This window comes from Homo sapiens, chromosome 19 (assembly GCF_000001405.40).
Source record: "Homo sapiens chromosome 19, GRCh38.p14 Primary Assembly".
NCBI lineage: Eukaryota > Metazoa > Chordata > Mammalia > Primates > Hominidae > Homo > Homo sapiens.
Genome location: NC_000019.10, coordinates 1,303,592 through 1,316,835, shown reverse-complemented (window position 1 = coordinate 1,316,835; position 13,244 = coordinate 1,303,592). Strand labels below are relative to the sequence as shown.

The 13,244-nt window shown below is 59.8% G+C and overlaps 1 pseudogene, besides 1 other annotated feature; it reads left to right on the top strand.

Annotated features, from left to right (window-relative positions):
• Positions 802 to 1,081: a silencer, noted in NCBI's record as "silent region_9700". NCBI's record gives its function as "represses an Ori minimal core promoter by ATAC-STARR-seq in GM12878 lymphoblastoid cells {active_cell/tissue: GM12878}" and the evidence as "EXISTENCE:reporter gene assay evidence [ECO:0000049][PMID:35858748]".
• On the top strand, positions 9,091 to 9,431 carry RPS15P9 (ribosomal protein S15 pseudogene 9; annotated as a pseudogene).

The window sequence follows — 13,244 nt, the reverse complement described above, 5'->3', positions numbered from 1 at the left end:
CCAGAGGAGGCAACTGAGGCACAGAAGTTTCCGTGACCCCAGAGAGCTGCCCAAGAGCATGGCACAGCAGGTGCGCATCATGCCCAGCGGGAATGACAGTGGCGAGGCCTGGAGTACCAGAAATCAAGCAGGATCCCGCGGCAGGGGCCGGCTGAACCCACCAGGGGCACCTGTGGGTAGGATCCTCTCCTCAGCCGTGGTGTGGGAAGGTGCAGCCACACATGAGACGGCCCCCAGGGTGCACACGGATCACCAGCCCTGCCTTGCAGGGGCAGTAGGGGGGGAACCCAGACGGTATCCCTACCTGAGTAGAAAGGACCCTCCCAAGGCCAAGGAAACCAACCACAGCACCCACGAGAGGGTATTTGGGGCGGTGACATTCTGCAGCCCAGGACCCAGAAAGTGGACACAGGTGTGGTCACGACACAGGAGGACCCAGAGGTGCTCATCACACAGGAGGGATCCAGCTGTTCTGTGACCGAGAAAACGCTCTGTGCCTCAGTTTCCTCCTATGAAAAATGGGTCTCCCAAGAGGGTTATGGCGGAAGCCACTGGTCGGGGCAGTGAAGGGGCAGCAGAGGTGAGGACGGGCGGTGGGCAGGGCTTGGGGTTCCCGTTGGGGCATCAGACCCAGACCTGAGGCTCCAGGAGGTGAACGTGAAGCTGGGACCCTAGGTCCAGCCAGGGTGGCTCCCCAGCACCTGAGGCCGCCCTGACCATGCAGACCTCAGCCTGCCTGCTCCGGGATCCAGGTCCCGACGACCCAAACCACGCGCCCCGGACACCGCCCCTCCTGCGCCCGGAGCGCGCCCCTCGCAGACTGTCCGGCTGGGCCTCCTAGAGGCGCTGGCTGCGGGGCGGGAGCTCTGAGCGCCAAGGGCCGCGGGCGTCCACGCAGCTCTACCCGCGCGCCAGGCCCGCTCCCCGGCCTCTGCAGCTCCCGAGCGCGCGTCTCCCCGCACCGCGTCTCCACCGGCCTCCTCGCTCCACCTAGCGGCGGCCTGAGCCCGGAGCCGCGGGGGGGCCAGAGAGGGCGGGGGGTCGGGGCCTCACAGTCCGGCAGGTGCGGCTGGGGAAACTGAGGCACGGGAGGGCCAGGCACGCCCCCAAGGTCACGCAGAATGAGCGGGAAGGTTCAGATCGAACTCCAGCACCCAGGAGCCCATATAGGTTCCTCCACCGCCACCCTAGAAAAGGAGGGAAGCCTGGAGGCCCGGAAGGAAGCAGCAAGGGAATGGAGCGCGCAGAGGAAGGAGCCAGGCGCACCGCAGTCCTGCTGGGGACCTGGACAGGTCTGAGCTGGACCAGTGCTGCCAATGCCAGCATGGCCGTGGCCTCCTTCCCTCACCTCACAGCGGCCTCTGTCTGTGGCCTGTCTCCTCATTTGTAAAATGGGTATTAGAGGATCCTTGGGAGGTTGCAGGGAGATGAGGCAGGGAAAGCCTGTCGGCTGACGTTTGGTACACAGTAAGCACTCAATAAATGTTGGCTATTGGCCGGGTGGTGGGTGGCTCATGCCTGTAATCCCAGCACTTTGGGAGGCCGAGGCGGGTGGATCACTTGAGCTCAGGAGTTCCAGACCAGTCTGGGTAATATGGTGAAACCCCATCTCTACTAAAATTACAAAATTTAGCCGGGCGTGGTGGCAGGTGCCTGTAATCCCAGCTCCTCGGGAGGCTGAGGCAGGAGAATCACTTGAACCCAGGAAGTGGAGGTTGCAGTGAGCCGAGATTGCACCACTGCACTCCAGCCTGGGCGACAGAACAAGACTCTGTCTCTAAATAAACAAATAAATAAATTAGCCGGGCGTGGTGGTGCACACCTGTGGTCCCAGTTACTTGGGAGGCTGAGATGGGAGGCTCACTTGAGCCAGGGAGGTCGAGGTTGCAGTGAGCTGAGATCGCATTACTGCACTCCAGCCTGAGTGACAGAGCAAGACTGTCTCAAAAATAAATAAATAATAAACAAATAAATAAGCCAGGCATGGTGGGGTGCACCTGTAATCCCAGCTACTCAGGAGGCTGAGGCAGGAGAAGCACTCGAACCCAGGAGGTGGAGGTTGCAGTGAGCCGAGATTGCACCCCTGTACTCCAGCCTGGGCGACAGAGCGATTCTGTCTCTAAATAAATAAATAAATAAATACATTAGCTGGGCGTGGTGGCACACAACTGTGGTCCCAGTTACTTGGGAGGCTGAGATGGGAGGATCGATTGAGCCAGGGAGGTTGAGGCTGCAGTGAGCTGAGATCGCACCTCAGCTCACTGCACTCCAGCCTGAGTGACAAAGTGAGACTCTGTCTCAAAAAACAAATACACAAACTTCGGCTGTTGAGGAATATTGTTGCCTAGGCTTGTCCACCCTCCTCTGTGGCCCCACCTTAACTGTTTCTTCCAGGACGCTCCCTCCTGCCTCCCTCCCTCTACCCCTCTGCACACAGCCTCCCCCCTGCAGGAACGCCCTTCCTCTGCCTCCGACTCGTTTGCCTGCCGTAGCCCCCACGGTGCCCCAGGGTTCAGCCCAGGGTCAGGCCCACGGCGAGCATTCAGTGACTTCATGAGGTTGGATGAAAACCAGGCTGGGTCCACACTGCGCTGCCCTGTGCCCTCATTCCAAACCCAGAGAAACTGAGGCCCGGAAAAAGAGGCGGCCCAGCAGAGCTCTCTCTTCACCAGGCGAGGGTCCCAGGGACCTGGGGGGAGAGCTGCGGAAGCCAGCAACTCCTTCCCCGCCGTCGGCCCCCAAGGAGGGTCGTGCTGCAGAGGCAGAGACCAGGCCAAATTGAAATTGATCGTGGGGAACAGCTCGGCAGGGTGGAACAGACACACGGCCACCGGGGAGCGCAGGGGCGCCCAAGCGTGTGAGCGCATCCCAGCCTCCGACGGAGAATCTTTTAATCTGCGGTGGATGCTGCTAGCTGAGGCCTCTAAGTAGCCACAAGGCACGGGGGCTAGACTGCAGCAGCTGGCAGGCATGAGGACACCTTCCACTTCATTCATTCATTCATTTCTTCCTCCTGAAGACACTGGGTAAATGTAGAGCAGCAGAGGGTGGCCAGAAAGGCCCCTCCCCCTGTTCCAGACAAGGGGATCCTGGGGCCTCCCCGGGGAACACAGGGGCCAGGTACCCAGAGAGGTTCCTGAAGACTGGGGGTTTGTAAGCTAGCCGTGCCTTCCAGGGCCAGCCAGACGTCCCGGAATTCCTGTTTGGTGACTCAGGGAGGGGCAGCTGCCGGCCGTGTCTCTCTCCCTGCAGGTGGCTAGGCCTGGCTCCCATCCCAGAGCTGTGGGGCTTAGGAGGGCTCCTCCACGCCTCAGTTTCCCGTGTTGGCCTCCGAGAGGTGATGACCGGGCACGTGGCCAATGGGGCAGCCGCGTCCTCCCGAAGCCTCTCCGACCCTGACCTGGAAGCCCCCCTCGGTGCCCGGGGCGGGGGTCGTGCCCCAGCTCATCTCCCAGGGCCCCTCTCCGGTGAGAGCCTCAACCCCGGGATTAGGGGGCCGGGGTCAGGGGTCAACAGCATTTGCCGCGGCTCCGTTCAGGCCGAGAGCGGATCCGTTCTCCCTGCCACCTCGAATTTCCTGGACAAAGGCACAGTGGAGGGACCGGGCAGAGGGACCCCCGAGCACCCTGGGAAAGCCCCGGGAGAGCCTCTGCCCACACAGCCCCCATTCAGCAGCCAATGAGCCGACGAGAGGAACCCTGTATGCCCATGCTGCAGAGGGGGAAACTGAGGCAGCCAGCGGATGGAGCCGGCCGAGAAGCTGCATGGCTTTAGTCAGGCGGGGGCCACGCGAGGCAGCCCGGCCCCCAGAGAAATGGGGCTCAGGCACGGGAGGCGGGGTCTGTGACGGCAGGCGGGTGGGGGGCTGGCGGCGGACAAAGGCGGGCGGGCTGGGTCCATGGGGGCGCGTTCCGCTCGTCAGCCTTGGTTCCACTTCAGTCCACCCTGGACAGGCCGGAATAATCCCTCCCGTGGCCGCTGCTGGGCCGTGACGACTTGAAGGGGGCCCGGCCAGCCTGACTGACGGCTGGGCGGGGGGCAGGGGCGCCTGGAGCTCCCCCCCACCCACACCCCTCAGGCCCTCCACCCCCATCCAGTGCTGGGAACGGCATTTGGCCGTTGCTGATGACACGGACGAGGAAACTGAGTCACAGACAGGCACACACCCCCTCCCAGGTCACAGAGCAGGCCCACCATGGCCGACTCCAGAATCACCCTCACTGGGACGGTCCCACCCTGCTGCAGCTTTGCACAACCCCTCACCTGGGAGTTGGAGGAATTCGGAGGCCTGGGCCTGAAGGAGTCAGAGAAATCACTCGCCTCCCTTTCATTCCCCAGCACCTGGGAGGCAGGGACAAGCTGGTGGCTGGAGCCGGGCCAGGCCAGGGGCCCTGGGAAGGCCCCATCGGGTGCTGCCTGAGGCCTGCAGAAACAGCTGTCAGCTCATGCCTCAATTTTTTCTTTTTTTTTTTTTGAGACGGAGTTTCGCTCTTGTCACCCACACTGGAGTGCAATGGCACAATCTCGGCTCACTGCAACCTCCACCTCCCGGGTTCAAGCAATTCTCCTGCCTCAGCCTCCCGAGTAGTTGAGATTACAGGTGCGTGCCACTACGCCCGGCTAATTTTTGTAGTTTTAGTAGAGACGGGGTTCCACCATGTTAGCCAGGCTGGTCTCAAACTCCTGACCTCAGGTGATCCACCAGCCTCGTCCTCCCAAAGTGCTGGGATTACGGGCGTGAGCCACCACGCCCAGCCTTATGCCTCAGTTTCTCCAGCTGCCAGGCGATCTGCAGAGCTGCCTGCAAACTCCACTAGGTGGGGGTGAGGAGGGGCATCACCCCCTCCCATCATGCACCTGGGCTCCTGGACGGACTTCAGCAGGTGGGGACAGTGTGCAGGAGAGGAAACTGCTGGACCAAGGGCCCCACAGGCAGGAGGGTGAGCAGGCCCTATGCGAGGGGGCTGGGTGAGCCTGGGAGAGTGTGGGGCCACGCTGAGGAAGCTGTGCTTCCGAGGGAGGCGGGCTTGGAGGTCCACGGTCCCGCCATGGATGCTGCAGGGGCCACTTAGGTTCAAGCCCTCCGAGGGCTCCCTGCCACCCTCAGGAGCAGCCCAGGCACGGGGCTTCTCAGCTCACGCCTCCCTTCGGCCACCAGGCCTTCCCTCGCGCCTGCAGTGGCCTCACCGCACTTCTGTGGGGTGACCTCCTCCTCCCCACCTCCCAGCGGAAGCGGGAGTCCTTGGGGAAGGCCTCTCCCGGCTGCCTTCGTCTTTGGCGAGTGCCCTGAGCTGCCAGGGCACTGGGCTCCCGTCTCCTGTTACCTTTGCCACCTCTGGCTTGGCAAACGGTAGGTGATTAATAAAGACATTTCAAAAGCACCAAAGGATGGGGCAGCTTCAAAGGGCCTGCGACGGCGGCAGGAGATGCGGGCCGGGCCACGGAGCCTTAAGCCGGGTCCAGGGGTCCCCAGCTCCCCATCTTTCAAACCCACCGAGTCCACCTTGTGGGAAAATACCCCTGGGTTTGCGACAAAGGCAGGAGCGGCTGGCAAAAGTGCCCTTGACGCTGAGAGGGGACCCCTGGTGGGGGGGGGGGGGGGGCCCTTCCCCGGCCTCAGTTTCCCCAGCTATAAAATGGGTGCTGGCTTCTTCAGAGGACCCCTCTCCCTCTGCCCTGGACCTCTGGGGACTGCTCCCCCCAACCCTCCAGGGGCCCCGCTGCGCTAATCCGCCAGGCGGCCTGCGCCTCGGTTTCCCCTCCCGGCGGCCTAATCCCCGGATTGTCGGAGGCCGGTTTTACATACATTTAGAGGCTTTTCATAATAGATTTACTGGGCCCCAGAACGGCCCTCACTGGGAGATTAGCTGCTCCGTAATTGAAAACTGCCCGCCGCCCCCTCCGCCCCTCTCCCCTGGGCTTGGGTCAGAGGGAAGGGCCCAGGGAGGACCCTGCAGCTGTGCGGGCCCCACGGGGGCCTCCCTGGGAGCTAGAACGGGGTCTCCCTGGTACCTGACCCGACGGAGGCTGCTCCCAGCCCTTGAGTGCTCAGCCGGGACTTGAACCAGGTCCGCCCCATGCCCACTGCCAAGGGCAGCCTCTGTGCTGGGACGGGGGGCCATGGTCTCCCTGTTTCAGACGAAGACACTGACTCACCCAGGGCACCCCGTGGGCAGCTGGTCTCTCTCTAAGCCGGGCCAGATCCTGGGTGCCCAACTTGGGGCTCAGAATTTGGGTCCTTACTCCCTGACCCCCTCAGCGCTTCCCAGAGACCCGGCAGGACAGGGGTCTCAGGAACGTTCATGGGATACAATGTGGCAGAGGATGGAGCTGAGTCGCCGCCCTTGGTAATTCGGCCCCATCCCCTTCCACCCCCAGCCTTCGCTGCCCGGTCCCCAACTGGGCAACTTAATTCTGCCTGTCACCAGGATGTGGGCCGAGTTTATTTATCTGGTGTATATATGCATTTTAATTTAAAGATCTGCCAGCCAGCACGGCTGACTCCCGCGGTTCCCCCGCTGCCCCCCTCACCTGCGAGAGGCCGTTCCCCACCACCACCCCTGCCCCCTAGGCCTTCCTGGAGGAGTGAATGATGGAGAATGAGCCCTTTGCCTCCAGTCTTTCCCAGTTGGCAAGAAAGAGCACTTGACTCAGAGTCCACACACAACACGCTCATTCAGTCATTCAACAAACATCCGAGGAGGGCTTGCTGGCATTGTGCCAGACAATGGGATCACAGGGAAGGCGGGGAGATCAGGCAACAAAGGGCCTGCCTCCATGGGCCTGGCGATTCTGCTCATCAAGAGCCCCCAGGATCTGAGACCCCACCCTGTGTCACTAGCCTGTTTTCCAGATGAGCAAACTGAGGCTCAGAGAACAGGGGCCTCACCCACAGCGGGTGGTGGAGAGGGCACTGGAACCTGGGCTTATCCGATGTCTGCAGCTGTGCCCTCACGCAGGGGTCAAGGCGAACCTCTCGGTGCCTCAGTTTCCCCTCCTAGCCAAAGAGCTTCTAGAGCCGCAGCCACAAGCGTGATGGACGATGTTAATAACAGCCCCGGGTGCTCGGGGACTCGGATACCACCGTCATTAATGCTCAGGCTGGGAGGGGCATGGGATATTGCAAACCATAACTCTAGCGCCTGGTGGGCGGGCAGAGGGGGCCGACAGCGGTCCCTGCGAGAGGCGGGCCCCCTTCCCATCACAAGATCATAACAAGCTCTGGTTTTCGACGCTTAGGGGGCCATGAGGACCGCCCAGCACCGAGACCACCCACTCAGGTGCCCCCAGCTCCTCCTCATGTGGGGAAGAAATATCCAGATTCGTCGCTTCTCTGGGCACCTGTGCTGCTCTCCCTGGAGGCTGGGGCGACTGGCTGGAGTCGGTAGTGGTCAGGCCGCCTCCCCTTCGCCATCCACTGGACCCTAAAGGGGTCCCGGCTGTGGGGCCCAGGGCCTGGGCACTCCCCTTCTCTGACCTCATCTTCCTTATCTACAAAGTGGGTCTCAGACTGGGCTCATGCCTGTAATCCCAGCACTTTGGGAGGCCAAGGCGGGAGGATCCCTTGAGCTCAGGAGTTGGGAAACCAGTCTGGGCAACATGGTGAAACCCCATCTCTACAAAAATAAATAAATAAATAAACAAAAATTAGCCACGTGTGGTGGCTCATGCCTGCAGTCTCAACTACCCAAGAGGCTGAGGTGGAAGGATCACCAGAGGCCAGGAGTTCAAGACCAGTCTGGGCAACACAGCGAGACCTCATCTCTACAAAAAATAAAAAAAATTAGCTAGCATGGAGCCGCGTGCCTGTGGTCCCAGCCACTCGCGAGAGGCTGAGGTGGGAGGATTGCTTGAGCCTAGGAGGTGGAGGCTGCAGTGAGCCACGATAGCACCATTGCACTCCAGCCTGGGGGACAGAGAAACACCCTGCCTCAAAAAAAAAACAAAGAATCACAGAAGCCCCAGGGGAGGCCAGGTGGGGGCGGAGAAAGCCAGTGAGAGATAAACTCGCCCCACGCCTCCCTCCTCTCTCCTGCCATCCACGTTCCCTTCGGAGCTTGAGCTGGGGAGAGGCAGGGATGGGAAAGATGCTCACAGATTGTCTCTAGAAGCTTCTCTCACGCCTGGAGACAGGCACTGTGGACCCCAGACCCAGAGGGGATGCCCCACAGTGCCTGGTGGGAGCCAGGACTTGAGCCCAGGACAGAACCGTAAGCCCCAAAACCCGGCGGGGCAGTCGGAGCTGGGGAAGAGACCACCCTGGGCACACACAGCCTGGTGGGGTGTCCCTAATGACCCCCGGAATGAAGGGTCCCCAGCCTCATTCTCCCTGGGCTGCTCCAGATGCAACCCCTGACCCGGCAGGGCTCACACTGCTTCGGGCCAGTGACCCATGGGGCCTGGGAGTGGCCTCAGTTTCCCCCTCTGCACAGGGAAGGGTGTCTCCTGCGACTCAGCGCCCCTCCCCCCCCCCCCGACACATGTCCATTAGGGTGCATTGATCGCTCCTGGGCCGAAGCCTTCCATTTCTGGACCAATGAGGGTGGGGGAGTCAGGAGCTGTCGGGTGGGCAGGCCCCTGGGAGGCCTGGGCAGGGTCTCTCCCTCTCTCAGGCTGTAAAGGGAGGGGTCCGGTCTGAGACGTTCCAGACTCAAGTGCGGAGCAGGTGACTCCGAAGTTCCGGCCTCGGAAGCCACCGTCTGAGCCCAGGAATGTGCACAGACAAATAGACGGGGAGCCGCTGGCGGTGGTTTCTGCTCCACCAGGCGACCGTGCAGGAGGACCCAGAGCTTGCCGGGCACGGTGACCCACGCCTGTGATCCCAGCATTTTAGGAGGCCGAGGCAAGAGGATCCCTTGGGCCCAGGAGTTTGAGATCAGCCTGGGCACCGTAGCAAGACCCCATCTCTACAAATAATCAAAAATTAGCCAGGTATGGTGGTGTGCACCTGTGGTTCGAGCTACTCGGGAGGCTGAGGCAGGAGGATCCCTTGAGCCCAAGAAGTCAAGACTGCAGTGAGCCATGATCACACCACTGCATTCCAGCCTGGGCAACAAAGGCAAGACCCTGTCTCATAAAGAAGGGCCTGGAGAGCTATTCTGAGGATGCAGCAAGACGGCAGAGGTACAGCAGCAGAAGAAACAGACCTTCCGCAACTTCACCCAGCGCGGCGTGGACCTGGACCAGCTACTGGACATGTCCTCGGAGCAGCGGATGCAGCTGAACAGCGCGCGCCGGCGGCGGCTGAACCCGGGCCTGTGGCGGAAGCAGCGCTCGCTGCTCAAGCGCCTGCGCAAGGCCAAGAAGGGGGCGCCGCCCACGGAGAAGCCGGAAGTGGTGAAGACGCACCCGCGGGACGTGCTTCTCCTGCCCGCGATGGTGGGTAGCACGGTGGGCGTCTACGACGGCAAGACCTTCAAGCAGGTGGAGATGGCCGGGCGCGGCCTGTAATCCCAGCACTTTGGGAGGCCGAGACGGGAGGATCACCTGAGGTCGGGAGTTCAAGACCAGCCTGACCAACATGGAGAAAACCCGTCTCTACTAAAAATACAAAAAAAAAAAAAAAAAAAAAGCGGGTCGTGGTGGTACGTGCCTGTAGTCCCAGCCACTCGGGAAGCTGAGGCAGGAGAAACGCTTGAACCCGGGAGGCGGAGGTTGCAGTGAGCTGAGATCACGCCACTGTACTCGTGGGCGACAGAGTGAGACTGCGTCCAAAAAAAAAAAAAAAAAAGGCCGGGCGCGGTGGCTCACGCCTGTCATCCCAGCACTTTGGGAGGCTGAGGCGGGAGGATCACGAGGTCAGGGGTTTGAGACCAGCCTGACCAACATGGTGAAACCCTGTCTCTACTAAAAATACAAAAATTAGCCAGGTGTGGTGGCACGCACCTGTAATCCCAGCTACTCAGGAGGCTGAGGCAGGAGAATCAGTTGAACCCAGGAGGCGGAGGTTGCAGTGAGCTGCGATTGTGCCATTGCACTCCAGCCTGGGTGACAGAGCAAGACTCCGTCTCAAAAAAAACAAAAAACAAAAAACAAAAAGAGAAACACTTGCAAGTATGTATGTCTATGGCCACGCACACTTTTGTGGCCATTTGAAGGCATGGATGTGGGCCTGTATGCATGGGGGAGGGCAGGTGCATGCCCGAGCCAGGTGTGGTTGATAGAAAGTGGCCCCAGTGGCCGGGCGCGGTGGCTCACGCCTGTCATCCCAGCACTTTGGGAGGCCGAGGCAGGCAGATCACGAGGTCAGGAGATCAAGACCATCCTGGCTAACACAGTGAAACCCGGTCTCTACTAAAAATACAAAAAAAAAACAGCGGGCGTGGTGGCGGGTGCCTGTAGTCCCAGCCACTCGGGAGGCTGAGGCAGGAGAATGGCGTGAACCCGGGAGACGGAGCTTGCAGTTAGCTGAGATCGTGCCACTGCACTCCAGCCTGGGCGACAGAGTGAGACTCTGTCTCAAAAAAATAAAATAAAATAAATAGGCCGGGCGCGGTGGCTCATGCCTGTAATCCCAGTACTTTGGGAGGCGAGGCAGGCGGATCACCTGAGGTCGGGAGATCGAGACCATCCTGGCTAACACAGTGAAACCCCGTCTCTACTAAAAATACAAAAAATTAGCCGGGCGTGGTGGTGGGCGCCTGTAGTCCCAGCTACGCAGGAGACTGAGGCAGGAGAATGGTGTGAACCCGGGAGGCGGAGCTTGCAGTGAGCCGAGATCGCCCCACTGCACTCCAGCCTGGGCGGCAAGAGCGAAATTTCATCTCAAAAAAAAAAAAAAAAAAAAAAAGGTGGGGAGAGCCCAGAGGAGACTCGGGAAGGGTGTGCCAGCCAGGGCAAAGAGGGAACACCCGTGAGTGAGAGGTGCCCTGGGGAAGAAGCAGGTGTCAGGGCTGGGTTGGGGGACCAGAGGACAGAGTGCTGTGGCCTCTGGGGATGGTGGGGGGGGGGGCTTCTTTTTTTTTTCTTCTCCTTATTTTGTTTGTTTTTCTTATTTTTGTTTTGTTTTGTTTTCTTTTCTTTTCTGGAGCCTCTCATTACTGCCATGTGGCTGTTGGATCCCTGCAAGGCGATTCTTGTGTTTCAGCCTTCCCGAGTAGCTGGGACTACAGGCGCCTGCCATCACGGCCGGCTAATTTTTGTATTTTTAGTAGAGACAAGGTTTCACCATGTTGGCCAAGCTGGTCTCGAACTCCTGACCTCAAGTGAGCTACCTGCCTTGGCCTCCCAAAGTGCTGGGATTACTGGTGTGAGCTGTTCAGTATTTTTGTTTGTTTGTTTTTTGAGACAGGGTCTGGCTCTGTCACCCAGGCTGGAGTGCAGTGGCGTGATCATGGCTCAATGCAGTCTCAACCTCCTGGGCTCAAAGCATCTTTCCCCCTGGGCCTCCCGAGTAGCTGGAACCAGAGGTGCGTGCCAGCATGCCTGGCTAATTTTTTAATTTTTATTTTGCCGAGATGGTGGTGGTGGGGGTCTCACCCTGTTGCCCAGGCTGGTCTTGAACCCCTGGCCTCCAGCAATCAGCCTGCCTCAGTCTCCAAAATTGCTGGGATTACAGGCAGGAGCCACCATGCCCAGCCTCCGTTCAGTTTTGAGGGTGAAGAATGAGACACCATTTCTAAAAAGCAAAAAAAAAGTGAGCCCCCCTCCATCATGGCTGTTTGGACCAGAGGGTGGGGACCAAGGGGTTTTCTCCTCAAACACAGATGTAGACAGGCACACTGAGGCTCAGTGGTGAGGTCTGGGGGGATGCAGAGCCCTGCCCTGGGCCACCGGGGCTGTGGGGGGCGGCACGTTCCACCCCAAGCCGCACTCAAGAGTTTTGGGCGCCTCAGGCCTCCTTTCCCCTAGCAGCCTCCCGCTGCCCCCTGCCCGCGGCGGGCACCGAGGCGGCAGTAACTGGCCGGCAGGAGGGAGATGACTTCCCTCAGGATCCTCTGGGCGGAAAAGACTCTGCGCGGGACCAGCGTACCAATGGCCGTCCAGGGCTGGCAGGAGCCGGCATTGGGGTCTCACTGGGGCTGGGGTCGGGGGTAACCAGGTTCCCCAAGGAGCGCCCACACCCGGCGGGGACATCCCAGCACAGCCCCTGGAGTGAGTGGCCACTCGACACGTTGATGCAGCCACTGGGACAGGCACCAGGGTCTGGTCAGGGTCTGGCGCGGGAGTGGAGGTCAGTTCCTGAGAGGCTCGGGCCCAAAACACATGTGTCTGGCGACACAGGGGTACACAGGCATGGAGGTGCAAGCGCAGGGCTACGCGTGTGTGTGTGTACACGTGTCTGCGTGTGGCCAATGACACGGTCCCAGGAGATTCCCTGCTCTGGGCCCAGCACTGGTCCCGGCGATAACCAGGACAGACCCAGCCCTGCCCTTAGCGGCTGCAGCCTGGGGAGGAGTCAGGTAAGTAAACAGTCACAAAGGGCACCCACAGCCTCCTGGCCAGGAGCTCAGGTGACATCTGAGCTGAGTTGGAAGGGGCTGAGTGGGGGAGCCTGGCTGCAATCTGCAAGAGAGGTTCATCGGGGCAGTGGGGTGGGCTGGGGGGACAGTGCATGCAAAGGCCCAGAGGCAGGAGCTCAGCCATTCTTTGTGTATTTACCCAAAGTCACCTTTTAGGCTGGGCGCAGTGGCTCACGTCTGTATTCTCAGCACTTTCGGAGGCCAAGGCAGGTGGATTACTTCAGGTCAGGAATTTGAGACCAGCCTGGCCAATATGGTGAAACCCCATCTCTACTAAAAATACAAAAATTAGCTGGGCGAGTTGGCACACACCTGTAATCCCAGCTTCTCGGGAATCTGAGGCAGGAGAATTGCTTGAACGTGGGAGGCGGAGGCTGCAGTGAGCCGGGTTCGTGCCATTACACTCCAGCCTGGGTGACAGAGAGACTCAGTCTCAAAAAAACACAAAAACAAAAACGAAAAAGCAAAGTCACCTTTTGCATTGAAACTTTGTCTCAAAAATAATAAGATTGTCACAATATGCCCGTAGTGCCAGCTACTCAGAGGCTGCGGGAGGCAAATCGCTTGAGCCCAGGAGCCAGAGGTTTCAGTGAGCCGTGATCGCACCACTGCACTCCAGCCTGGGCGACAGAGTGAGACCCCGTCTCTAATAAATAATACAGAGTTAAATAATAAATCTAAAAAAAGCATCTTGGCTGGGCGTGGTGGCTCACTTCTGTAATCACAAGAAGTTTGGCTTGTGAGTTTTTGTTCTTTGTTTTTTAGAGACAATCTCTGAAAATG